The 26,485-nt window shown below is 39.8% G+C and overlaps 1 protein-coding gene across 5 annotated transcripts in view, besides 5 other annotated features; it reads left to right on the top strand.

Moving 5' to 3' along the window:
- Positions 1–26,485, top strand: part of MYLK4 (myosin light chain kinase family member 4) — a 106,740-nt gene that overhangs the window by 10,276 nt on the left and 69,979 nt on the right. For 3 of the 5 annotated variants that reach the window (XR_926185.4, NM_001347872.2, XM_005249078.5), the window contains exon 2: positions 10,695–10,965. Coding sequence is in view for 4 of the 5 variants with exons in the window: in NM_001347872.2 (NP_001334801.1) it covers positions 10,695–10,965 (271 nt within the window). In the remaining variant the exon portion in view is untranslated. Of the gene's footprint in view, positions 1–9,178; positions 9,366–10,694; positions 10,966–15,895; positions 16,206–26,485 lie in introns of those variants that run through there. The other 2 variants (NM_001012418.5, XM_006715082.4) reach the window with 2 other exon arrangements.
- Positions 2,972–3,266: an enhancer, noted in NCBI's record as "tiled region #3200; HepG2 Activating DNase matched - State 8:EnhW". NCBI's record gives its function as "activates a minimal TATA promoter and a strong SV40 promoter by Sharpr-MPRA in HepG2 cells {active_cell/tissue: HepG2}" and the evidence as "EXISTENCE:reporter gene assay evidence [ECO:0000049][PMID:27701403]".
- Positions 2,972–3,266: a silencer, noted in NCBI's record as "tiled region #3200; K562 Repressive non-DNase unmatched - State 7:EnhWF". NCBI's record gives its function as "weakly represses a minimal TATA promoter and a strong SV40 promoter by Sharpr-MPRA in K562 cells {active_cell/tissue: K562}" and the evidence as "EXISTENCE:reporter gene assay evidence [ECO:0000049][PMID:27701403]".
- Positions 7,312–7,606: a silencer, noted in NCBI's record as "tiled region #12436; HepG2 Repressive non-DNase unmatched - State 20:ReprD, and K562 Repressive DNase matched - State 5:Enh". NCBI's record gives its function as "represses a minimal TATA promoter and a strong SV40 promoter by Sharpr-MPRA in HepG2 and K562 cells {active_cell/tissue: HepG2 | K562}" and the evidence as "EXISTENCE:reporter gene assay evidence [ECO:0000049][PMID:27701403]".
- Positions 25,641–26,331: an enhancer, noted in NCBI's record as "H3K27ac-H3K4me1 hESC enhancer chr6:2734004-2734694 (GRCh37/hg19 assembly coordinates)". NCBI's record gives its function as "activates a minimal SCP1, AML or CMV promoter by ChIP-STARR-seq in primed H9 embryonic stem cells {active_cell/tissue: H9 hESC(primed)}" and the evidence as "EXISTENCE:reporter gene assay evidence [ECO:0000049][PMID:30033119]".
- Positions 25,752–26,046: a silencer, noted in NCBI's record as "tiled region #934; K562 Repressive non-DNase unmatched - State 6:EnhF". NCBI's record gives its function as "represses a minimal TATA promoter and a strong SV40 promoter by Sharpr-MPRA in K562 cells {active_cell/tissue: K562}" and the evidence as "EXISTENCE:reporter gene assay evidence [ECO:0000049][PMID:27701403]".

Below are 26,485 nucleotides of genomic sequence, written 5' to 3'. Positions count from 1 at the left end.
ATTACTTGTGATACCTAATACAATGTAAATGCTATATAAATAGCTATTATACTGTATTGGTTTTTTATTTGTCCTATTTTTTATTAATTGTACTGCTGTTTCTTATTTTTTCCCAAATTTTTGATCCACTGTTGGTTGGATGAGAAGGTGCAGAACATGTGGAAATGGAGGGCCAACTGTATTGTCAAATTATTGGAAAGATCAGTTCTCTGTATCTTATAAAGTGGAATGTGAAAGGACATTTGACAAAAGTCTACTTCAATCATTGATTTTTAAAAATCTCTAGTAAAATAGAGAAAGTTATCTTCTTAACATGATGATTTTTGTTTTTGCCCTCAAACCAGCACCATTATCATGTTGAATGGTAAAAACATCATTGATGAGGGGAAAGGTTTATTTTTTAAAAAATAATGCACTAACCGTAAAAGGAAAAGATTAATACATCTTACTACATGAAAATGAACATCTATTTATTTAGCAGAAGATACTACAAGAGTGAAAATACAAGGAACAGAAAGGGAGAAGACATCTTAAACACACATTACTGTCAAGCACAGTGTGTAGGATGTAGAATAAGTCCTACATAATGATAAGAAAATAGGAGAAAATGTAATTAAAAGTGAGTAAAGAACATAAATATGTACTTCATGAAAAACAGAGACCAAGTGACCAAATATGTATTTGAGAACATCTTAGCTGGGCACAGTGGTTCATGTCTGTAATCCCAGCAGTTTGCGAGGCCAAGGCAGGAGGATCACTTGAACCCAGGAGTTCAAGACCAACCTGGGCAAAAAAGTGAGACCTCCATCTCTACAAAAATTTTTTAAACAATTAGCTTGGCGTGGTATTGTGCACCAGTGGTCCTCACTACTCGAGAGGATCACTTGAGGCCAGGAATTCAAGGCCACAGTGAGCTATAATTGTGCCACAGCACTCCAGCCTGGGTGACAGAGTAAGACCTGTCTCTAAAAATAACAACAAAAGAGAAACCCTTCAACTCTTTAGTAAGAGAAATGAAATTTAAATTTATAAATGATATGCTATTGCACACCCAATAGATTAGCAAAAACTAAGTGTTTTTAAAGCTATAGAGCAACAGGAGAATTCTTATAGTGCTGGTGGGAGTGTAAACTTGTGTATACATTTAAGTGTGTGTACTTCATGTGTGCACATTGGTGTTCATAGCAGCCCTAAATGGAAAACAGCCAAATGTCTCCATCAGTGAATAAACACATACATTTTGTAATATTCATACAACAAAATATTATATAATAATGAAAACTAAAGACATCTATACACACTATATACAACAATATGATGGGTTACAGACAGTTTTAACTGGGAAAAAAACTAAGAAAATAATACAAACAGTATGAATACATTCAAACAAACTAAAACTGCCAAAACGAAGCTATATATTTAGAGTGCACATGTAAATGGTAAAATTGCAAGGAAAATCAAGGAAATTATTGAAAAGATTTAGATTAGTGGTTAGCTTGGGAAGGACAAAAGGATGGGATTTTTGAATTTGGGGATTCTTGACCTGGTGGTGGCTTTATGAGTATTGCTTTTATAATTATTTATTAAATAGTGTATGGTTTTATATACTTTCCATATGTATATCTTTCAATAAAAGATACATATATCTTTTATTGTTATATATCTTACATATTATATGTCATGTATACTTATAACATTTTTGTTATTTATATTATCAAAAATATGTATTTCATATATACATATGTAATATATATGTAATATATATGTCCTGATAAAAGAAAAAATATTATAAATTACTGTGACTTCATTTCATAGTTGTTAAGGCCCTGGTATACAATAACAGTAAGTGATGTTACACTGTTGATTAAGAAAACTGAGCTACTCCAGAATATTTTTCGTCTTTAGAATCTTGGCTCTAAATTTTTCAGCCAAATAATCTTTTATTTCTTAGGAGATCTGATAACATGAATAACAATAATATTACCAATGATAACCATAAAGGCTATTATTTATTAAGTTTCTCTAATGCATCAACCATTTTTATCTCATTGTTTACCCCTCAACAACCCCATAAGGTAAATGTTGTTATCCTCACTTAACAAATAGGAAGCACTGAGTTTCGGGAAGACTGAGCAGCTCTTGAGTCAACACAGCTAGTAGAGCTTGAACTCAAGCCTAGGCTGTGTGTCTCCAATGCCCATGACTTTCCCACTAGGCTGGGAAATTTATTTTGGCAACCTTTTTACATTAAGAAGGAAATATATGTTTATTTTAGAAAAATGGATAACTCCAGGAAAGCACAAACCATATTTGGTATAGCAATCTTATCTATTTAGCTATGGATCTCTGTATTATCATTCATCTGCTATGTATTGACAGTGCATCTTTCTTTAGTTAAAATTCAGATCCTATTGCATCTACTGTGCCCGGATCTGTCCCTTTTTCCCTAACTATGAAATTGACACATAACCAATAACCCTAGTTTTTTTTTTTTTATGGAAGTATCCTATCTATAACTCTTGTACATAGGTTCTATTTCAGTGTTTTATATATAACAAATAATGTTATGATGATATCTTCAGAGATAATATTTTGTGTACTACTCTGTTTCTTTGAGGTAAACTTCTTAGAAATGTGATTGCAGGGTCAAAGGGCATGACCAAGTTGCCTTCCATAAAAATCAGAGCAATATGCATTTTAACCAGAAGTATACAAGGCTGCCTATCTGCCCTCTGCCTCCCAGGCTTCATTCACACTGAAGATGTTTTCCATACACTAACTGGTGCTTATAATGCTTTTTACCATTTTACGAGCTGCCATGGTCCTTTTGTACCCCAGATTCTTCAATACTTTTGGACATGTAGAATAAAAGCTCGCGACCTATTATGAGTCATTACATAATAGCTCAACTTATTTTCTACCTAAAAATACAACTTTTATCTTTAATTAAAAAAAAAAAAAGCACACCTCTGAGAGTTCACCAAACTGCCCATCAGCCATTAATGCACGCCCTATGGCAGTGTTTTTCCATGTGGAAAATTTCTCCTCTCAACCTTACCCTCTTGGGACAAGGAGGCCAACATTTGGTCAGAAGAGCATGACTTGGACTTTGCACTTCTGTAATTTCATGCCTTGTTACTATCATAAGCTTATTCTAGCTCTGAAATCTACTTCCAATTTAGAAGGTAGGAGAGCATTCCCGAGAACATAAACATAAACATTGTTCCTCCAGTTCCTAAAAGTAGAAAATGATGATTCATGCTGTAGCATGGGATTTTTAAATATTGGAAATGAATATCCTTAGACTTTCCTCAATTGTTTAGAATGGATAGTCACAACAGTAGTATGAATTTTACCTTGTAGCAAGCATTTTATTTTGTGTTTTCTCATGTTTAAAATTTTTAGGCTTAAAGTATCAGTGGGAGGGGGTTACATATGTGGTATAGGGAAAGGGCGGAAATAATCCTATGGTGTTGGTTTGGAAATAGAAATATATCAGTATGAGTGTGAACTCATGATTTTTTAGAAAGAATTATATTTCCTCTCTCTGTCCTCTGAAGTGTCTACAGTGACACCCCCGTAGCAAAAAACACTCCTGGTGCCCAGGGCTTGATTTCTAAATACCATTCTGCCTAAGAGGAAGGAGGGCTCCTTGAAGAAATGGCAGAATTCAGAAACAGGGTGAAAACAGTACTGAAAGTAAGGAAGTACTCAAAAAATAATAATGACATATCAAAAGTACATAGGAGCCAGCTTGAAGGCACTTCCGTTGGCCAATATGGGACAATTTGAGCTTCAAAATAAAGAATATAGGGAGTGTATGTCCATTTTTAAAAGGCCATAAGCTCATCCTGATACTAAAGAGAGTGAGGTTCAGGATGGGGATGGAAAGCTCTTCTTTATAAAAGAATACCAATTAATAAGTATAGAAGAAATGGCAGAATTAGAAAATCATTTCACAGTCTCTGTGGTAATCATTGATTCTCAAGAATAGATACTGAGAAACGTTGGGTGATGCATTGTTGGGGAACATGATACCTATAAATTCCCACAAGTTATTTATCAATCACAAAAATAAAAGGGTTAGTTTTACATTTGAGAAGTCTGGTGGACACAACCTTAATCAGATCACCAAATTTAATATCACGAATAATGGCACAAACCGACATCATGTGCCACCTTTTGTGATGTTCTGAAAAAGATACAGTGTCACTTCTGTAGTTTTCATGCTCAGGTATAACCTGGTTCCAAGCATGAAGACACAATCAGGAAATTAGAATTGAGAGACATTTTATGAAACAATTTGTCCAAAGACTTCAAAAATATCAATGTCATGAAGGATTACAAAAAAGAGAGAGAGACTAGGAAGCCTCATCTCCACAAAAAATACAAAACTTAGCCTGGTGTGGTGGTGCCTGCCAATAGTCCCAGCTACTTGGAGGGCTGAGGCAGGAGGATCACTTGAGCCAAGGTCAAGGCTGCAGTGAGCTGTGTTCACGCCACTGCACTCCAGCACAAGCAACAGAGTGAGACCTTGTCTCAAAAAGTAAAATAAAATAAAATAAACGGAATGACCATTTCCTAAATAGATAAAAGGAGACTAAGAAGACATGGTGATTAAATGCGCTATGTAATTTTTGAGTAGATTCTGTTATGTGAGAAAGTGTCTTTTTTCTCAAGAAACATACACCAATTCATATAGGGGTAAAGTTTCATGAGATATGCATCTTACTCGCAAAAGAGAGAGAGAGGGCAAACATGGAAAATGCTAACATTTGGTGAATATGGGTGAAGGATGTATAGGTATTCATTGTACTATGCTTGCAAATATCCCTTAGAAAGTTTAAGGGATATAATTAAAGGAACAATTTGTGTAGCCACTGTAGAGGTAATAAACTGAAACTTTATGTAATATTTCTGAAAAATATTAATTTTTAAATGATCCAATCCATATTTTTATCTAATTTTTAAAACCTGTTTTATTTTCATTTTTGTATTTCGTAATACTTAGCTAATTGCTGTCACTTAGAAGTTTTAGTGGTCTAATATCAAAATTTCCTGTAAAGAAATCTGGATATTCCATAACATCATTATCTTTCTTGCTCAAAGTATCCTATCTCCAAGCAGAAAATAAAAGATAGAAATTACTTTTAAAATTACTATTAATTTTTCTATTAATTACAAAATCTTATATTGCATGATATTCATGCCAGGAGAAGAAAAGCGTGAGACTCTTAACTGTCTCCTGCTCACCATTCCTTTTCTTTGGCCCTAGGTGACCTGGCAAGTGTGGAATATAATTTATGTTTCCCTGGATCCCAGCCTTGGTCACTGGGGACAGATGACCACAAAGTGTTCAGTTTTTTCCTCTCCTTTTAACAAGCTACTTTTTGTTAATCATATTATTGGGTTTTCTTTTTCTTAATGACTCTATTGAAGTATAATTTACATATTATAAAATTCACCCATCTCAAGTGCACAATTCTGCATTGTTTTAAGAAACTGAATGAGTTGTACAGTCATCACTACCACACATCATCGGGTAAGATTCTGTTTACAATTAACCCCCATTCCTGCACCCAGCCCCCGGCAACCACCAGTCTGCTTTCTACGTCTATAGATTTGTCTTTTCTGAGCATTTTATACAAATGGAATCATACAATCTGTGCTCTATGTTTCTGGCTTTTTTTTTTCAATTAGCACAGTGTTTTCGCTCATCCATATTGTAGTAGATACCAGTATTTCATTCCTTTTAATTACGTAGTATTCCATTTGTATGTGTATACCACATTATCTTTTCCCAGTCTCCAAATCATCCGATGGACATTTTGGTTGTTTTCAGTTTTTGGCTATTGTGAATAATGCTGCTGTGAACATTCATGTGCCATGGTTTCTGTGTTCATATGTTTTCATTTCTCTTGGGTAGATACCTAGGAGAAGAATTTCTAGGTCATATGGGAAATAACTTTTTAAGAAATTGCCAACCTCTTTTATAAGACACCTGTATCATTTTATATTCCCATCAACATATTTGGTGAGGGTTCCAGTTTTTCCACATCCTTGTCAACACTTGCTTTTCTCTGTCTTTTTTTTTTTTTTTTTGGTAGAGATGGGGTCTTGCTATGTTGCCCAGGCTGGTCTCAAACTCCTGGACTGAAGTGATCCTCCTGTCTTGGCCTCCCAAAGTGCTAGGATTACAGGTGTGAGCCACCACACCCAACCTATCTTTTATTTTTTTCATTATTATTACAGCTCTCCTAGTGGGTGTGAAATGATGTTTCCTTGTGGTTTTAATTTGCATCTCCCTGATGACTGATTTTGAGCATTTTTTTTCATGTGCTTATTAACCATTTTTATATCTTCTTTGGTGAGGTCTGTTTTAATCTTTTGTCCATTTAAAAAACTGGAATGTTTTGTCATATATTATTAAGTTGTATATGCTAGATGCAGTCCTTTGTCAAATATGTGACTTCACAGTATTTTCTATACATCTGTAGCTGGTCTTTTCATTTTCATAATAGTGTCTTTTCATTTTCCTAATAGTGTTTTTTCAAAGGCAAACGTTTTGAATTTTGAAGAAGTGCAATTTATCAATCTTCGTTTTTATGGGTCGTATTCAGTGGTGATTTTTGAAAGTAAGGAAGTTCTATTGTAATGTGGGTAACAGGGATGCAGTAGCTTTTTATTTGCATTTGGGTATTTGTACTGTTGCTCCGCTTTTGTGTGTAAACATTCAAGAGGTCTTGTTCTGGAAACATTCAGAACGCTGTGTAGAAACAAAAACTCTTAGTGTAATCCAGCCGGGTTTCAATGCCAACCCGTAGACAAGAGCTGTCGACGATGTTTCTTCATGTGGCTCCTTTGACAACACAGTCTCTTACTCAGCTAATGGAAATGTCCCTTGAAAAAAATCAAGGGATTCTTTTCCATGGCTCTGTAGGGTGCTGTTTTCCTGATGTTGGTATTTTTTAGAGAAGTATAACTCCAAAATATGGAAATACTGGAAAAGTGTTCCTGGGCCTGCTCATATTCCTCACTAATGAATTTTTCCGGGTATAAGAGCATCTTTAAGCATGCAGAACATTTTATGGGTATGGACTTAGGATCCTGAGGCTAGGCTGATAGACCAGAATGAGTATGCATGTATAACCTGTTTTTTTGTGGTCAAGGGTTGTGCCAGCAGTGTGCTTGTCCTGTATGCCATCGGAAGCTGGGAACAGTGTGATGCAGCAGAACCAGACAATCAGTCACTTTTAGCATGGATTATTTTAATTGACTTGCTTTTTAGGGCAAGTAGACACAATTAAAGATCATTCTATCTAGTCATTAATCAAATATGTATTGAATGTATATTGTGCATGGAAATGTCTATATGTGGATGCCTTCCAAATTCTTATCTCCAGCCTACACCCCTCCCCGGAACTCCAGTTTCTATCTCCACAGCCTATTCAACTTGAACGTTTAATGGACTTGCCAAAGACTTCATGCCTGACCTTTCCCTCCAGAGTTGCCCTTCCCACAGCCGTCTCCATCTCAGTTAATGTTCACTCTGTCTTTCAAGTGCTCAGAAGAAAATATGCAAAGGTGTCTACCATCTTTCTTTCATACCCCATACCCAATCTATCATAAATCCTACTGATTCTAAATGTACTGTGGAATCCTGCATGGGATTCTGGAACAGAAAAGGGGCATTTGGGGAAAAAAAAAACCCAGCAACAATAAAGTATTGAGTTTAGTTAATAATAACGTTCACCATGGTTCATTAATTGTGACAAGTATACCATACCAACGTAAGATGTTAAAAACAGAGGATTCGGGGTGCAGGGCAAGGGGAACTCTGAACTACCTTTGCACCTTTTCTGTAGATGTAAAACTACTCTAAAAGGAAAAGTTTATTACAAAAAAATAAGCTAAGGAGCAGATTCTCCTGGCCTCTGGCTCACTCAAGCCTGTGGTTGGTTTGCTGGAGCCAACGAGATAGGAAGTCTGCTTTTGCGTGGTGGTGGTCCGGGTGGAGGATGTGGTTGGATCAGCAGCAGCCCACACACATCTTGCCTCTGGCAGGGCATTTGTTGCCTTATCAGTACTTCTACACAATTTAATTATACTAACAAAATTGGTAACCTCAAACCAGCTTAGTCTTTGTATAATACTTTTGTCAGATAATTTATCTCCACAAATTTATAGTTCCACTTCATTACTTTTGCTGAAGAACAAAGCTCTCCAATCTGAAAAATAACAAGCGTTTTGTGTTTTAAAAAAGATTTTGCTGTAATTCATTAATACTACATAAAATGGAAAAATATGTATTTTTATTTCACATGGAATGCATCGATCTGAATTAAAAATAAGGTTTTTTTTTTAAAAGAAGCAGAAGAGCAGCAGAGGCTGGTGTTAGAATGGGGCATAGAGGGGCTAACACAGGCTCCAAATAAGAGGTGACAATTGGCCAGGCCCTGAAAAATTGCAGGGTTTTCAAGACTGCAAAGTCCAGCCTCTGGGCAATCAAAGTTTTATGCCACTTCAGTGAATCTAGGGATGCACTACTGTGAGAGTCGGGCAGGTGGGTTGAAATTCCCCTTTCTTGGTCTGTGCAGAAAACTACGGATGAAGTCCTAGTGTTGCTTAAGGAGAATTTATGAAAAATTTATTCCTGTTTCCTGGATGCCTGTGCCTTTGACCTTTCCCTAGAGCTAGAAATGGTTGGAGACTTTGCAAACATCTTTAAGAACTGAGAAAAATAAAACAAACTTGCTAACTGCTTTCAGAAGATCTTCTATATTGCAGTTGGATATGCTCAAAGCGTAAGATGGGCAAACAGAGGTGGCTGTGGGGTTGCCACACCTGGCATTTTCCCTACTGGGGGAAATTTAATGAGCACTTAAATAATCCTGAGTCTGAAAGGGGCAGAAGGTCCAGGCAGATGATTGCCGAGGACAAATCTAGCTTTGTAAATCCGAGAGTATTGACACAATGATACGAGGGAAAGGTGAAGGTGATATTTCATCCAGTGTTCCCGGTTCATCCTCTCCTTACCTGACCTCTGAAATGGAGCCATTGGCCTTGAAAAGCCTGGTGTCTAAAATTAATATTCTTCCCCATCTGACTAAGAAGGCAACAGCTGAGCAACGTGAGATCAAGAGCCATATTAATTTAAACAGGGGCTGAAAGTGGCATTTGAGAGAGAAGATACTTCCTCTCGTAGTGGACACTTGTCTTTTCAGAAGATTTATACGACTGAGAGTCAAAACTTTTACCAGAGACTTTCATAGTCAGTTTGAATTCTGCAAAATTTCTCTTTATCTTCTGGAATGTATGCTCTAGACTTGGAGTGGCTCAAGCTCTTCGATGTGATCCTATCAATGGTAATTATCTTTGTTTATTGTTATAACCTCTCAAATCTCCTCCCCTTTTTTCTAAGTTACCTTCAATAACAAATTGTACCAAACTTCAGGTAGAGCTTAATGTTTAATATTTCTTTGCAAAATTATTGTATCTTAATCCTAAGCTTTTGTTTTAATACATTAATTTTGTGTGGCTTCCTGATCCAACTTGAGTTTCATCTGCAATTAACCATAGTATTTTAGTCGTAGTTTGCCTTAGAAATAGCCATGCATTTGTTTCCTTATTTTAATAATTTTTTCAGGGCAATTTGAAAGAATGCTAAGAATGATCTGTAATATATCTGTAGAGCTCTGGTTGATAGTATTAATATTTGCATTTTTATTTGTTTGAATGTAAGCTCTTTATGTGGATAAGTATAATTTGTTAGAGCAGTGAATTTTAAACACTTTGGAACTCAAGAGTATCATTTTACTATAGGAACTGACAAAACAAAATATTAAGTTTTCTGATGAGAATCACAATACGGTTTTTAAGCGGAGAAAATGCTCGAAGAGGCGCTTTTCGGAAAATCTCCACCAGGGGGCCTCAGTTGTCAGCCATGCGGAACTAGCACAAATTCAAATGTCTCTCCCTCTCCCTGCCTCTCTATGCAATCAAGTGATGTGTACATATAGACATGCGTATATGTCTCTAGTATCAAAGCGAATTATGTATGCTGCATTACTTCATTTGCGAGGAAAGTATTTTAAGGAGAGTGAAAAGACTCTGAACTTCTCGGTACATAGCTGTTAATGCAGATGCAAGGAAAGGTATCTGGGAGTGCTGTCCACGTGAGAAGACTGTAAGGAAATAAATTTCTTTTCACAAATAAACACCACACATTTTAAGGCATAGGTAGAGAAGAGTTCTGGAAAAGGACTCATTCGGGAGCGATCCCTCTGCAGAGGGAGGCCAGGGGAAGCAGAGAGACCCCTTCTGTGATAAGCCCTTCCCACGGGGCTGCAAAACCTGCGGTTCCAATTAAACCCAAAGATACTTTATAATTTACATCCAAGCTGGCCACTTGATCTACGGCTTGTTTTGTGCAATAAGGAGCATATTTCATCACCAGTGAATCTTGACATTGCTTCTTACTGTTTGCTTTTGTAGTTTTAAAGTGAAAAAATTTTTTTTCCTTTTAAAGTTCCAATGTTGGAAACTCAATATGAATGTTAGTATTTCTTTTCCTGATTTTGGATCCTCTCTCCAGTTTAAACAGAAGGGACTTCCAAATTCTCACTGGTCATTTTCTCAAGAAGTCAAATGCATGAATACGTGATGAGAACTTTTTGTGTTTCCTTTCTTTGCAGTCAAGAGAAAGAAGCACTGAAGAGTCATAATTGTGTCCTGATTTATAAATCGGAGACAGAGGGAGACGAAAACCACACTCCAGAAAGTAGCTTAATCGGACTCACTACTAAGATGTTAAAAGTGAAGAGGCTGGAAGAATTCAACACGTGTTATAACAGCAACCAGCTGGAGAAAATGGCCTTTTTTCAGTGCAGGGAAGAGGTGGAGAAAGTGAAGTGTTTTCTGGAAAAAAATTCTGGGGACCAGGATTCAAGATCTGGACATAATGAGGTAATCATGTTCTAATTTAGTCTCCTAAAAAGTATTCATTCTATCTTATCTTTTCTAATGTCATGGAGCCGCTTGTGAGTACAATTAAGGAAAGTTTATGAATAGGCATCATTCCACTTTGCTTCAGTGAGAATTGTGTGTGTCGACTATACAATTGTGTTTGGTAAATAATTAGGAGGCCTTTGAAACTGCATTTCTGCCAGCAGTCGACTTCACTTTTAGTTAGTGGCTTAGGAGTTATACAGCCAGCTTGCAGAAATGAAGAAGAATCCTTTAGCATGATGGATTTGGGCTTGAAATTCAGAAAAGGGCTCTGAGAGGCACACTGTTCTGCAGAAAGAAGTTTCTCCTTTTTCCTTCAGATCTTGAGTTCCTCACGCGGTAGACAGCAGAGCTGTTGATAGTGAAGTCCAGAGAAGGGACAAGAAAGACTTGCTGATGGCACGACGGTGGGGCTTGTACCCTCCTCTGTGCAGAACGAGAGTTCTGAGCCCCATTCCAGCTGCTCGTTCTTGGGAAAAATATTAATTTAACCAAGGGCTTGCCACATCTGAATTAGTGAGATAATAGCAATTGTGAAAATTAAGTGTGATCACGTCTGTAAAGCACTCCGCCTAGTATCTGTCACTAGAGTCAGCATTTAATATGTGTTAGCGGCAGCAGCAATTACCTCCCCTGCCTTGGCCCAGTCAGTTCCTGCCCATCATCCGTTGGCTCCTTGCCCGGTGGGAGCATCAAGCATTTTGCCCGTGCCTTCATTCCAGCACATGTGGTGGTTTTGAACATGTTGATCACCTTTCTCTAGACAAGGCTCCTTAAGGTTGGGAAACCTCGTGTTATTTGTTCATGTTTCCTCAGTTGCTTTCCTAGTAACGGAAACAAATAGGCACCAAAAGTGTTTTTGGAATGCACAGATCTATTTAAGTGAATTCTGGTTGAGGGCTGGGAACCATTATTTTTGATAATCAGAGCAAGTGATTCTTATCAGGCAGGTTTGGAAAACATCCTTCTTTGCCCAGCTACTGTTCTAAAAAACACTATTCAGGTAGGAAGGGCGTTTCTAACAATGCAATAGACAATGAAATAGAGAGATTGTATATAAAAGGTCTAGGAGGCTTTTTATTGTAAGTGAATAAGAAATGACAAAATGTGCTGGAGAGAATAAATGAATCAGATTGAAACATTTTTTTGAGACCTCTGCTTTCCCCATGAGTTCAATATAGACCAAGGAGAAATATCTACAGGCAAAATTAAGTGAGACATGACTTTCTCATTAGGGTTTTCAGTGGTACAAACAGGATAATTTTTTCTGTTTATTAATTTCGGTAGGACAGAGAAGACAAAATATTCTTCTTGGAGAACTTTGAAATCATCAACTAACTGTAATAGTTTATATGAATTTCATTATCTTTCAAGTACTGTTTTTCTCCAAAATCTATGATACAATTTTTATAAATGGGCAACACTCTAAAGAGTGAGATAAGCAGGACACATGGCTCATACCTGTAATCCCAGCACTTTGGGAGGCTGGGGCAAGAGAATCACTGGAGGCCAGGAGTTTGAGACCAGCCCAGGTGACATGGTGAGATGTCTATTTCTACAAAAATAAAAAAATACAAATAAAATAGCGGGCATGGTGGCACACATCTGTAGTCCCAGCTACTTGGGAGGCTGAGGCAGGAGGATTGCTTGAGCCCGGGAGTTCAAGGATGCAGTGAGCTATGATCACACCACTGCACTCCAGCGTGGGCAACAGAGGAAGACCCTGTTTCTGAAGATAAAAAAAAAGAGTGCGATAGTGCTAAGTTGGAACATAAATATATGTAGGGATGTTACTTTTGTGCAGCCAACTACATCCAGAAGTTGATGATTTGGAAGTTAAATATTTTTAGGGTGTTTTTGAGGGAAAAATTGAGACTGCTATTTAACCCCTAGAAACCATCAGAGAATGTCCTTTATAGTAAGTCTCATATCCCTTCTGTAACTTGGGCCTCCTGGCTTCCGTCCTGCAGTTGACACCCTGTGGAAGGTGGGAAGGAATCACTAGGAGCTCCATGTGTCCCATTCAATTTCTTACTTGTAAATGGAGAAGGGCCTAGAGATGTCTGCAATAAATTTCCCTGTCTCTCTCCGTCCACGTGGAGAATGGATAGGTGCATGTGTCAGAGGCACAGAGTTCTCCTTTCCATGGCCTGGAGCCCCTGCCTGCCTAGTTGGTGGGTGCCAGGGCAGCCAGCAGGCTTGGCAGCGGGTGGGTGGAGAAGGACATTCCAGCAGCTCAGATGTCTTCAGGTATGCAGACAGAGCTAGATTAACACGTCTTCATCTTCTGCTGGGGCAGCAGTAAATCTTTAAAATGCCACGCTTTTCTCTCCAGGGACTATAAAAACATGCTTGTCGATTTTCTCCACCTATTCCCCTTTCTCTCTCATCCCTTCTCTCTTTGAGGGGATTAGCACGGCTAATCATAGTAGAAACATCCCCTGTGGTGCACTGGAAAGAATGTACTCTGAATTTCAGACTCTGGTGACATGAAAGCTTTGTTCTGGAAGCTTGCAGTGCAGTTTCTTTAGAGTCTGGAACTACTCTCCAGTCCCAATAGGGGAAGAATTTTATATAGATTTAACAACTTATATTTGTTAAAATAGTTTGATAAAACTCAGATTCTTTTTGTTTTCCTGCTCTTAATCAGATTTTTCTATTTCTTTTATTTTTCTTCTACTGAATTCATTTTTAGCCATCTTCCTTCTTTCCTCTATGTTTTACTGAGTTTATGAAACACTTCATAGCCTTCTTTTCTTCCTTCTACTTAAGTAGTTCTTGTTCTTTTAATTTTTCTTTCTTTCTTTTTTTCTTTTTTTCTTTTTTTGAGACGGAGTCTTGCTCTGTCACCCAGGCTGGAGTGCAGTGGTGCGATCTCAGCTCACTGCAACCTCCGTCTCCCAGGTTGAAGCAATTCTCCTGCCTTAGCCTCCTGAGTAGCCGGGATTACAGGCGCACGCAACCACGCCTGACTCATTTTTTTTTATATTTTTTTTTGTATTTTTAGTAGAGACGGGGTTTCACCACATTGGTCAGGCTGGTCTCAAACTCCTGACCTCATGATCCACCTGCCTTGGCCTCCCAAAGTGCTGAGATTACAGGCGTGAGCCACCGTGCCCGGCCTTGTTCTTTTAATTTTTCTTGTTTGTTTGTTTCTTTTTTTTTTTTTGAGACAGCTTCTCACTCTGTCGCCCAGGCTGGATTGCAGTGGTGTGATCTCAGCTCACTGCAGCTTTGACCTCCCTGGCTCAAGTGATTCTCCTGCCTCAGCCTCCCAAGTAGCTGGGACTAGGCATGCACCACCACCCATGGCTACTTTCTGTATTTTTTTGTAGAGACAGGGGTCTCCATGTGTTGCTCAGACTGGTCTTGAACTCCTGTGCTGAAGTGATCCTCCCACCTTGGCCTCCCAGAGTGCTGGAATTACAGGCATGAGCTGCTGTGTGTGGCCTATTTTTCCTACTTTCCTTTTTATTCTGTTTTCTAATGACTTTTCTTATTCTATTATGTTCCAAAGGCTGTTCAAAATCACCTAAATTCTACCTACTGTGTAAAATTTTAAAAGTTTTCAGCAGATAACCATATGCCATAATAAACTAGATCTAAACATACGTACACGGTGTGGTGTTGAAATCAAGTAAAATTTACAAGACCAAATTGGTCTGACTCATATGAGTGATGAGCTCGATAGCTACTGTGTCCATACCATTAAGTTATAAATGATGAACAGGTTTCATAACTATAATTAGTATTATTTTTGTACAGTTGAATCTGGGTTTTTTTTCTTTTGTCAGTTCTCTGTTATCTATATAGTAAATAGCCCTCGTGTTGTATTTCCCCCAGATTTACTTGAATATTTAGTAGGATCTCTGTCTCATATACACCCCCACACCCCTTTGCTTAATGAAACACAAATGTGCCTGGTGATATTCTCAGCCAACCATTCGGCCCTGCGTGCTTCTCACTGCTTTCCTCGGTGTACCACCCCCATCCCTGCTCCTGAGGCCCGGGGTTGTCTGTGCTCTCCTCCTCCTCCGTTGGTTTTCCCCACCTGCCTGTTCACCCCTAGTTACTCATCCTCCATCCAAAAGGCATGGTCCCAAGTATAAAAGTAGGACACAGGTTGTGAATGCTCACTCTACAAAAATATGTCAGCATAGCCCACCGTTCCACATCCGCGCCTGGAAGACCCCTAAGCAAATCATTTCTGAATTTATCCTAACCCTTGTTGATTTGTGTTTGAAAGCCTTCCTTCATAGGGAATAATTCCTTTTTAAAACCTGGCTTAAGTTCTTCCATATCCCAACCAGGGGGTATCCCAAAGCTGTGGGGGTAGAAACAAGCATGGCCCCAGCAGACTCGGGACCCCACTGTCCCTGGAGTGTTTAAATGCCCGGTACAAATGCTCCCAAGACCAAGCAAAGCAAAATATTTATTAACAGGATGTGCAGAGGGACAGTGGGTTGGAGTAAAGTGTGGATTTTCCTATTTTGATTGCAGTTGGTGGATTTAACACCAGGTGGCATTTCCTGACCATCTGCTGTGAAATTGTACCATCAGCACCATCCGTAATGACTATAACTTAGATCTCAAAATAACAAGGCTGAGGGCAGAGGTTTTGTGATTTTTCAAGTTGCATTTCGCCACCTCCATCCCTGTGCTCCTCACCCTGTAAGGGCAGGAGAAAGCTCCCTGGCAGTGGCCCAGCCTCGGCAGCCAGCAGTTGCCAGATACAGTGGTGCTAATTGTCCTTGAACTGGGAACAAATACGCATTCACAGCGTCGTAAATTATTGCCAGCAGTCTCCCAATGCCCCTACACCTGTTTCAGATCTGTCACACAAGGCCATCGTATTTTTCCTTTTAAAGAGGCAGATTATTTGCTGATCACGTAACTGGAGACGTCCAGTGCAGGACTCTGCAAGAACCCTCTGTAATTCGGTGACACCCACTCCTCAGGGCAGAGCAAAGGGTGACACTGCTTGAGAAGTGCTGGTGCTAGATCAGGGCAGGGAAGGAACATATAAGCCAAGCAACATCCACAGCTGCTCCCAAAGAATGGACTTCACACTCAGAAGAAAAGACGTCTGGGTTGTAGGTAGCGTGTGCCTTCTCTCGTCTTCAGTTCTCTGGTGCTTGATCCGGTTCGTGATGACCCGGGGAGGCCACTGGCAGACTCCTGCTCTTGAGGACGTGCAGGTAGTAAAATCACCTTTATCTAAGACAGATTCATTTTGTTCGAATGTTTCCAACCTGGGAGTGACGCTTGCCAAAGTAAATGGAATGCATGCCCTGGCTGAATCTTTGCCCAGGGCCCTGGTCTTAGGGGCAGTTGAGGTAATAATAGTGGCATGTGGCACATTTCAAACACTTGCACCAACTTTTGGGGAACCTCACGGGCAGGGATTCCCTGTGCATATTAAAGTTAGTGATCTGTTTTTGTTTGTGAGAGCTAAAAATAATGTCCGTATCTCTTCCTTCTCCTACTTCTTATATGACTTATGAAAAGAAAATAAAACAGAAGCAAAAGTGCTTCTACTCTTACTAAGAAATCGATTGCAAACACAGCACCTGCAGTGATCAGCCCTTCTGAGCATAGCCTTCTCTGCTTTCTCCTTTGAGCTGTCGCCTGATAATGCATTTCATGTAACACCATAGCTATTCCAGGAATGGAATTCAGTCAGAAGCGTAGCAGAATTCTGGAAGAAGACAAATAATTCCTATTCTAAGAATTTTAGCACTTTTCAAGAGAGGGTATTCATTTTGGGGAAGACAGCTCTTTGCACATATTTGACTCTCTTATCAATTAGCATATGATAAATTATTTTTAAAACAATATACAACAGTTTAGAAAGCACTATGGAAAACAGTCTGAATCATTGTTCCTGTCTGAAGGTGGGTTTATGGCGGTGTTTCTCAGCCTTGTTTTCATTATCATCCACCCCCTCCTAGACTTTTTAGGGTTTTTTCCCCTTAGTTGACTCCTCCCATTAAATTTTAATACCACATGTATACTGCATAGCTGTTGATGCATTGTTTGTACCTCTGTGCTTTATACGTAAAAAGAGTAAGATTTTCTTCACATGCCCCCAGAAGAACCAATTTTCATTCCTTTGGGGTGCTATTGCCCCATTGACAATGCATGCAGTTAAAAAAATTTCTCTAGGGGAGTTAGACAATCTATCCCTACACCTGTGTATAAATGCCTTATTTATTTATTTTTATTATTATACTTTAAGTTTTAGGGTACATGTGCACAATGTGCAGGTTTGTTACATATGTATACATGTGCCATGCTGGTGTGCTGCACCCATTAACTCGTCATTTAGCATTAGGTATATCTCCTAATGCTATCCCTCCCCCCTCCCCCCACCCCACAACAGTCCCCAGAGTGTGATGTTCCCCTTCCTGTGTCCACGTGTTCTCATTGTTCAATTCCCATCTATGAGTGAGAACATGCGGTGTTCGGTTTTTTGTCCTTGCGATAGTTTACTGAGAATGATGATTTCCAATTTCATCCATGTCCCTACAAAGGACATGAACTCATCATTTTTTATGGCTGCATAGTATTCCATGGTGTATATGTGCCACATTTTCTTAATCCAGTCTATCATTGTTGGACATTTGGGTTGGTTCCAAGTCTTTGCTATTGTGAATAGTGCCACAGTAAACATACGTGTGCATGTGTCTTTATAGCAGCATGATTTATAATCCTTTGGGTATATACCCAGTAATGGGATGGCTGGGTCAAATGCCTTATTTATTCTTATTCAACAAGAAGCCACCAACTCGGCATCTTGTTGGTGTTCAGAAGTCGGAGAGCTCTAGGAGTCAGCCTTTCCGCATGGCCTGCGCCTTTCCCGGGGACCTTTCCACAGCAAATATTTCTGGAGCATCAAGTTCATATGAAGAGGAATTGCCCAATCTTGGAATGGCTTGTCAATCATCTGATCTGTCTTAGTTGAGGACAAAGTGAAAGAGATGGAAGAAAGGAAGAGTTTTTTTTTTAAGTAAGCAATCATAAAACATTATAATTCTCTTTAGGTCTGACCTAACATCATAGTTAAGTCTGTGTTTTTAGGCAGTCACTGTTGCCCAAGTGTTAATCATTTTTCGCTGTTTATCGTATCTCCTGTGGGAGATGCCAAGAGGACTACATTTCTCCTATGGGAAATACTAAGGGCTTTCATCTTCCATGTGGAAAAGAATGTGTTACTCACTCAAGCTATGAGATTGTAGCCCTCAGAGCATTTCCCAGTGAAAAGGCCAACAAGTTGTGTGAGTTAATTAGGAGTATTGTGGATGTATATTTCAGAATGTTTTTGCAACTTTTTAGCCATGAAGAAAATCTCTCCTAAATTAGAGTGTACAACATGTCCTCATAGCTTTTCTTATTGCTAATGAATATTTAGAAATGTGAGCAAACTATTGTCTTTGAAATATCTACAAGCACAGCAGTTTTAAGAACTGTCTTTTCTAGAGGTATCAGTGAATCCTATTTATGATATGAATGTGCTCTATATCCATTCAAGACAGAGAGCAGTAAAAAGGTTTTCCAATGTACTGTGTATAGGTACCTGCCCATGTAAATTCTGAGTGTCCTTGACCAAATGCACAGATGAGTCAACTTATGTGTATGTTGTTTCAGCTTCTTAGAGTAATTAAAATTATGATAGTTTTATGCCATTTCTGTTGTTTTAATATGAGAAAAAGACCTTTATTTGCTCTCCCTGAAAGTTAGAACAACGTCGTCAAAAATACAAATGTGGCAAATCAAGTCTGTGTACCTAAGTAAGAGAATGGTTAGCATACTTGATAACAAAATTCCTAAATATAGATGCCCAAACTACGATCCTATCCACTTACCTAAAACATAATGGTTATAAAAGGCACATTTATCTATTAGTTTCCCAGATCTTTTTTTCACACACCACTATCATGATTTTTGCTATATTTACATGCTATCTTTATTCCTATTAATATTTTTCATATGAGTCATTTAAAACATTTTTAGCCAAAGCAAAAATAAAGTGAAATCATGGTTTTGATGTTTTATTTATAGATTTCTAATGCACAGTAACACACACATAAGTTTTAAAAACGGTTTGTTACTGTATGATCTAAAACCACCTAAAGTCTCTTGCAATGAAGTGGCCCAAAGTCAGTCTCTGGACATCCGACTCAGGAAGCTATTCCAGGTCTTTGCCCTGTGGTATTTGGCCCTTTCACTTATTTGTCATTTTCTGCCCACCACATGGTGACAACAACAAAGTCCACTTCCTTCAAGAGAGCAGACATGGAGAAGACTGATCGTAGGCAGCGTTTAGTATAGAAAATGAGGAACAGGTAAAGTTTATGTAGGATTTCTTATGTGCCCAGCACCATGTCTCTACGATGTCATTCCTGAGTTCCTACCAGAAAGCAGAGCCCAAGCATGCGTGAGGGTGGCTTGTTTTGTGAACTGACTCCAGGGAATAGGTGTGGGGGCTGGAGGAGTATGAAACAGGGAAGGAAAGAAGCCCCAACAAGGTTGAGTTGCCAAACTGGCTACTTCAGACAGGATGACCTCAGAGCCACCTGCCCATAGGACTGAAGCAGGCAATTGGCACTGATTCCCCGGGCGCCATCTCCACCATCGGGGGTCTTGTGGAGTGACTATCCCCCTGGCATTTTCAGTTGCATATGCATAAATGCCAGTTCCCAAGAAGGTCCCGCAGCAATGCCAGAGAACCCTGGGAAGAAGGCGTAATGCAGTGGCCTGAGGTGAAGCACTTTCAGACTAGACCTCTATGGAGCTGGTTGCCACAGTACTGGCTGGAGCAGAGGTGGGGGAGAGCATGCGCGGAGGACAAGGAGAGGTGCACCTATTCTGATGCCTTTAAAGTCTCACTGTCAGCCATGAGGTAGGTACTATTTCCTCCACTTTACAGTGGAGACCCAGGAAGGCTCACTGACCTGCCCAAAACCCACATGCAAAAGAGCTGGGCTTTGAACCCCATGGTGGGCACCTAGCTTGCACTCTATGCCACCATGAAGGATTGTCCTGCTATACCCAACTTCGTGCTTCACAGTTAAACATCCTGTTCAAGCTGAATCACTGGGGTCAGGAGATGCAGCTTCCAGTCCTGGCCCTGCCCTCCCAGTGGAGTTCTTTAAGTTCTTTACACAACAGTATATGCAGGTCAGTTTCTGCAGCCCCCTCTACTGCACAGGGTTGCTCTTAGGGCCAAATAAAGTACCATGCATGTGTGAAAGTTCTTTGTAAAATGTAAAATGCTGTATGTTAGTACTGCTATCAGTACATTTCTCTTATGTGCTTAAGTATATTTAGGCCCTAGGTCTTCTTAAATATGGAGATACAACCTGTACAGTGCCTCCTGGCATTTTGTATTAATTGTAATGATTTTTTAAAACCTCATTTGCCATTTTTAATGGGGAAAAGTATCTGATTTGCCAGTCCATTGAGGGTGATAGTATGCTATGTGCTCAATTGGATACCAGTATAAACATAATCCATGACTCATGGCTGCCTCCACTTGGGGTTTCAGATGCACACAGGTTGTCATGGCGTTTCCATAGTGAATGGGACACTGAAGGCTGTGCTCTGACCCACAGGTTGTAACTCAAAGATTAGGGACCTTAATGCGTAGGAACTTCGGGGGTCAGCTCATTCAAACCCTTCTCTGAAGAGAAACTGAAAGTCCGGGAAAAGTCAGATGGACTCACCCAAGATTCCTTAGTGTCTCAGCTTTCCTTTAAATATTTATGCCTAGATTCTGTATTAATTTACTCAGCAAATCATTACTGAGCCACCACTGCACAAAAGACACTGTGTTGGTTCTGGTCAGGCTCTCCAGTAGTGATCTGCCTGCCTTGGCCTCCCAAAGTGTTGGGATTCCAGGTGTGAGCCACTGTGCCTGGCCGAAGTTGGTAGAATTCTTATCTCTACCTTTTAGGTGAGCAAACTGAGGCTTAGTGAGGTCAGGAATTGGCTCAAAGTTATGAAGCTATATACCATCTGATCTTTGAATGCATTCGCTTGCCCAACATATGAAACAGGTGCTTGGGTCTCTTTGTAGAAATTTTAACTGAATTCAAAATATTTATCAACTATTAACAATCCCAATAGAGTGGGACATATTTTACAATGGATAAACTTACATTAACATATCATTATCACTCAGAGTCCATGGTTCACATTAGGGTTCACTCTTGTTGCTGCACATTCTGTGGGTTTGGACAAATATATAATAACATGTATCTACTGTTATAGTAACCTAAAAATTAAAAAGTGTCAAGATGAAACATTATTTGAAAACAAGCGCTATCAGTGATGAATTTTCTAAGGACAGTTTTTTGCCACATGATCTGAAGTATGTTTTAATGATTGTTGCTTTGGTTGGTTGGTTGATTTCTTTAAGCAACTACAGCCAGCCTAGATAGATGAAAACGTCCACTTTCTTTACCACCACAAATTGAGGTTCTTCTCTGCAACTGCAAGGTGACAGTGACCTCCAGTGGGGAAAAGCTGCAAAAGTTACTGCGGCAATGCAGTGAAGTCCCAGCATTTTAAGCTAATCCTAATTGTTGGAACGAATGTCAGGCCACTCTCAGCTCTCTGTTCGTAGACACAGAAGCTGCTAGGAAAGACTACACTGGAACTAATGATTCCCTCATGCATATAGAATAAGGCTGGAAGATTATAAACTAAATGCAGTTTGCCAGCATGCTCTAAAATACTTTGTTTCATTAAACAATGTATTAAGATGTTTCCTATGCTCAGTACTCTGTTAGTCATAAGTCTTGACTACAGAGTGGAACTGACATTTCACTAAAGATAGATCAGGAAGGTGGGTAATCCAAAATTTATCCTGTTTAGCTTTTTATAGTGTCACCCACTTGCTAGTTTTGCAGGGTTGCCTACTCACATGTTTTGCCTAATAATGAGAAGTTATAATGTGACACATTCTTACTGTGCAATCTAGTTTCACATAAGACCACCAGCTGGAATTTCGTTTCTGCCTCTTGCTACTTCTATGACATCAAGGATATTATTTAGCCTCTCTCAAGTATTTCCTCATCTGGGGTTAATAACATTGACCACCCCCCCCCCACCCGCCCCCGGCACCCCACCCCCAGCAGAGTTGTTGTATAAAGCAGTTAACACACTGCTTGGCTTAGAGAAAAAAAAAAAAGCTACATGAACAAAACAATACACTCTTACTACTAATGTAGCTAAACTTTACACCATCTACCATTCTAGTAATTTATAGGGCATATTGTCTGTGACCCAATATCTTTCCTGCTCAGAGTCCTACAGATCTAGTTTCCTGAAGGACATTTTCTTCTTTCATGTCTTTCCACACTTAATTTCTTTCTGTGGGTGATGCTGTCAGGTTTCTCAGGCACTGGCCTGGGATCCTAGCATCTTGATGCCACATTGCCTGGAGCTATGGACTCCCCCTCCCTCCCTGTCATATTCTGTCAGATACCAAATTCTGCACATGATTTCTTGAAATGTATCTTACATCTCTCCTTTTCATTCCTACTGGTATGACTGCAGAATGTGTTCGTTCCTCCCCACCCCAACTGTCCTCTAAGGATGTGAACAGATGAGTTACCATCAGAGACTGAAGAAGGAGAATGGAACTTCATCCAGTCCAGCAAGAATAAGATGCCCATGTACTACCAAGGTCACAGGTGTGAAAATGCCTTGGAAAATCAAAAGCATTAAGCAAGGCATAATGGTAGGATCGTTTTATTGTTATTTTTTGTTATTTTCTGAGATGGCGTCTCGCTCTGTCGCCAGGCTGGAGTGCGGTGGCACGATCTCGGCTCACTGCAACCTCCGCCTCCCGGGTTCAAGCGATTCTCCTGCCTTTGCCTCCCGAGTAGCTGGGACTACAGGCGGGCGCCACCACGCGCAGCTAGTTTTTGTATTTCTGGTAGAGATGGGGTTTCACCATGTTGGCCAGGATGGTCTCGATCTCTTGACCTCGTGATCTGCCCACCTCGGCCTCCCAAAGTGCTGGGATTACAGGTGTATTATTTGATGTGCATAAGAACTTAGCAACATAGGCTTCGTAGAACATGAGAGAAGGCAGAGACTATTTTATTGGAGGAACGCAACTCAGTATGTCATGAGAGCCAGGTGATGGATGGCTACTTTACACCTGATGCAGACAGTGTACAAAGATTTATAAATTAGGAAATTACAGCAGTTACTAACAAAAGGGGCAGGAGAGATTCCTTTGGTGTCTTGTCCAGAACCTTTGTGTCTTAATATGTCAAATGCCAAACCACCAGACCTGACTTACCTAGCTGTTAGATACCACAGCAGAAGCTGTGTTTCCACCTTCCAGTTTCTGTCCTTTTCCCCTGAGAATTGCCACAGTCTGTTAGAGTGTATTTTTAAATGAAATTAGCTGGGGATGTCAGGAAGAATGGAAAGCCACCAGGCATACAGTCTAGCTCTGAAGCTAGTTCACCATAACATAATGACTTATCATTGAAACCCATCAGAGTCTACTTCCCATTATCTATTTCAGTATTATGTTTTTGCATGATCAATATTCTCTTATGTGAGATTTTTAATATTATTCCAACACATAATATTAGAGATTTTCAATGCAGGTTAGAGTGTTAAAGGCCCTGAGAGGTTTCTGTTAAAAAATTAGCTGGGTGTGGTGGCAGGTGCCTGTAGTCCCAGCTACTTGGGAGGCCGAGGCAGGTGATTTGCTTGAACCTGGGAGGCGGAGGTTGCAGTGAGCCGAGATCGCGCCATTGCGCTGCAGCCTGGGTGACAGAGCGAGACTCCATCTCAAAAACAACAACAGCAACAGCAATAATAACAAATATTTTAAAGCAAGCACACGGGAAGCATGTAATAAATGTTAACTTATATCTGTAACAGTATTATTATTTATCCTGAGAGCTTTCAAAATTTATTTGACTTCTGACCTTTTCTTTTTCCTGACTCATTATTAACATTTTAGGGAGCTATGAGATGTGCTTTGGGGCGTGCTGGTTTAGGGTGGACTGATGATGGACTTTGATATCAAACAGGCCCAAATTCAAATCCCCTTGGAGACCACCTACCGGCTGTGTGACCTCAGTCATTTAGCTTTTCTGAGTTTCAGTTCTTGGTTCACCAAATTGGTGTAATAATGCCAACCTTGCAGGATTATTGGGAGGATTAAATTAGCAATTTGTCTGTTAGAGACATGATCCAAAACCTTAATTTCTGTTCCGCTTCATTGTTTCTCCCCAAACCTGCTCTCATTCTCTCTCCTCTTCTATGCCTTTTGAAATCCTTCAAGGCCAGATTTAAATCCCACCACAGTTGATTCTAATTTTACCTCCCCAGTTTGCATCGACTACATACGCTGAGCCAGGTGTGTGCATAGTTTTGGGGCCCTGTGTGATAAATACTATGTCATGGGTTTGGACCTCCATTCCTGAAAAGCTGCAGCTCCGTCCCCATGGGGATCATTCTCTGTATTTCTTTGTATCCTTCACATGAGACATGTCCATTCTCAATTGTGTACTAGTTATTACCAATACATTTTAGGCATAATTTTGTCTTTGATGTCTTAGAAGTGAGGATAATGATTAATGTACTTATTTCAAATATTTAAACAATGTGATGAATAGGGCCAGCCTTCATATAGCAGAATATTTGGAATAATATAGCGTTTGTATATTTTTCCCAAGAGCTTCCAAGATTGGAATTTTAATCATTTCTAGACTGGCAGAATCAATTTTAAGCAGTCAAAGTGGCCTGACATGCCCTGGCTTTCTTCATTTACCTTCAGATCAGAGTATCAAAAATGAGAGAAAAATACCTGTAGTTCTGGGTGCTTTCTGTCCCTTTATGAAGAAGAAGGCAACCTGATTCTTGTATGTCAGGACTTGTCTGTTATTACTGAAATGGCTCTAATACGGGAAGAATTGTTTGTAATGATGGCTAAGAGGCATTGCCCAAATTCTGAAGTTCCTTCTGAATCATCTAAGAAAGAGTGCCTTAATTTGAACTTAGTTTTGTTTGTTTTACATATTCTAAGCTTTGACAGGTGCTGTTTTATGTGTGATGCAAACATCATCACAAGCTGGAATCTGATTGCTCAGAGTGGCTCCTGCCTGGGCCTCAAGCATTCCCTGGGAGCTGGCTACAAATGCAGGCTCTCGGGCCCCATCCAACCTGCTGAATAGGAATCTGCATATCATCAGGGTTCCTGAATGACTCATGTATGTGCACATCAGAGTGTGAGAAGCACTAGAATATTCATTAACCCCTGCAGTCAGATGATGAAGTTTACTTCAAAAAACTGCTGAAAGAAAAATAAAGGTAACATACTACTGCAGTTGTGAATATATGCTTACCTAAGTAATATTCATATGCATATTACATTTAAATACACACACATATATACATGTATGTGTATGTGTGTGTATAATATGTATATGTGTATGAGTGTATATTATATATATATATAGTCTTTCAGGCTATTCCTTGGGAACCAGGCAGCATCCTTTCTTGAACATTTTAAGAGCATATTTTCCTTGATAAGATAAATATTTCTAATAATAGTCCTTTCCATTAGATTTCCCAGGCCGACAAAACACAGAACTTGTCCTGTGGCCAGTTAGATAAGCCCGGGTGAGAGGACGTGTGAAGTGGCAGCACTCCCTCTGCCCTGGGAGGGTCACATTGGTCTCCTGGAGGACAGGTCTCAGTTCCAAGTTCCTCGCCCAATCAAAGGGTGGTGGCCCTGTGACAGACGCTGACAGACCGCAGCATGGAAATTCCTTGGTCTGTCCTTGTCAGCAAAGCAGCAGATGGTTTAGCGAAAGCCGCATATGTGCTGGGTAGGGGAACAACCTGTGAGATTCCATCCTGTAACAGAGTTGCTTCTGGCAGGTGCCCGCTAGCAAGGGTTTGCAGACATGAGTACGTGTGGCATGGAGCAGCTGAATACCATTGCATTCTACTGTCGCTGGTTTTAGCATGTTTTTTGGCTCATACGTTCCCAGGGTTGAATGGAAAGGTCACTAGTGTCTGGAGTCTGTGGTCCGTTTGGGCTTTGGCACTCACGTTAGATAAGTGACCTTGACTTTGAGCAAGTTTTGGGATGCGCTGACATTTATTATTTATGTATCGGGGATGAGAACCACTGTAGATAAGAATCACCTGGGGTACTAGGTTAGCATCCAGATTGCGAGGTTCCCCTAGTGCCACCAAAGCAGCGTCTCCGCGGGCGAAGCTTGGGAATCTGTGCTTTGGATAACCCTCCAGGGGTCTCATGAGAAGTGTGGTTCGTGCTGTTGAAGGGAATCCACTTGATTGCTATCCTCTCACTTTCCTCCTTCATCCTTCTAAACTCACCCTACCAGGAGGTGCCAACTGAGAGCTGAGAGAGTGATATTGTGTCATTGCTAGGGATTGGTTAGACCTTATAATAAAAAACGTATTAAATTTT

The sequence above is a fragment of the Homo sapiens genome, chromosome 6 (assembly GCF_000001405.40).
Source record: "Homo sapiens chromosome 6, GRCh38.p14 Primary Assembly".
In the NCBI taxonomy this organism is placed as follows: Eukaryota; Metazoa; Chordata; class Mammalia; order Primates; family Hominidae; genus Homo; species Homo sapiens.
The sequence above is the reverse complement of the archived record's forward strand: the minus strand, read 5'-3'. Positions and strand labels throughout refer to the sequence as shown.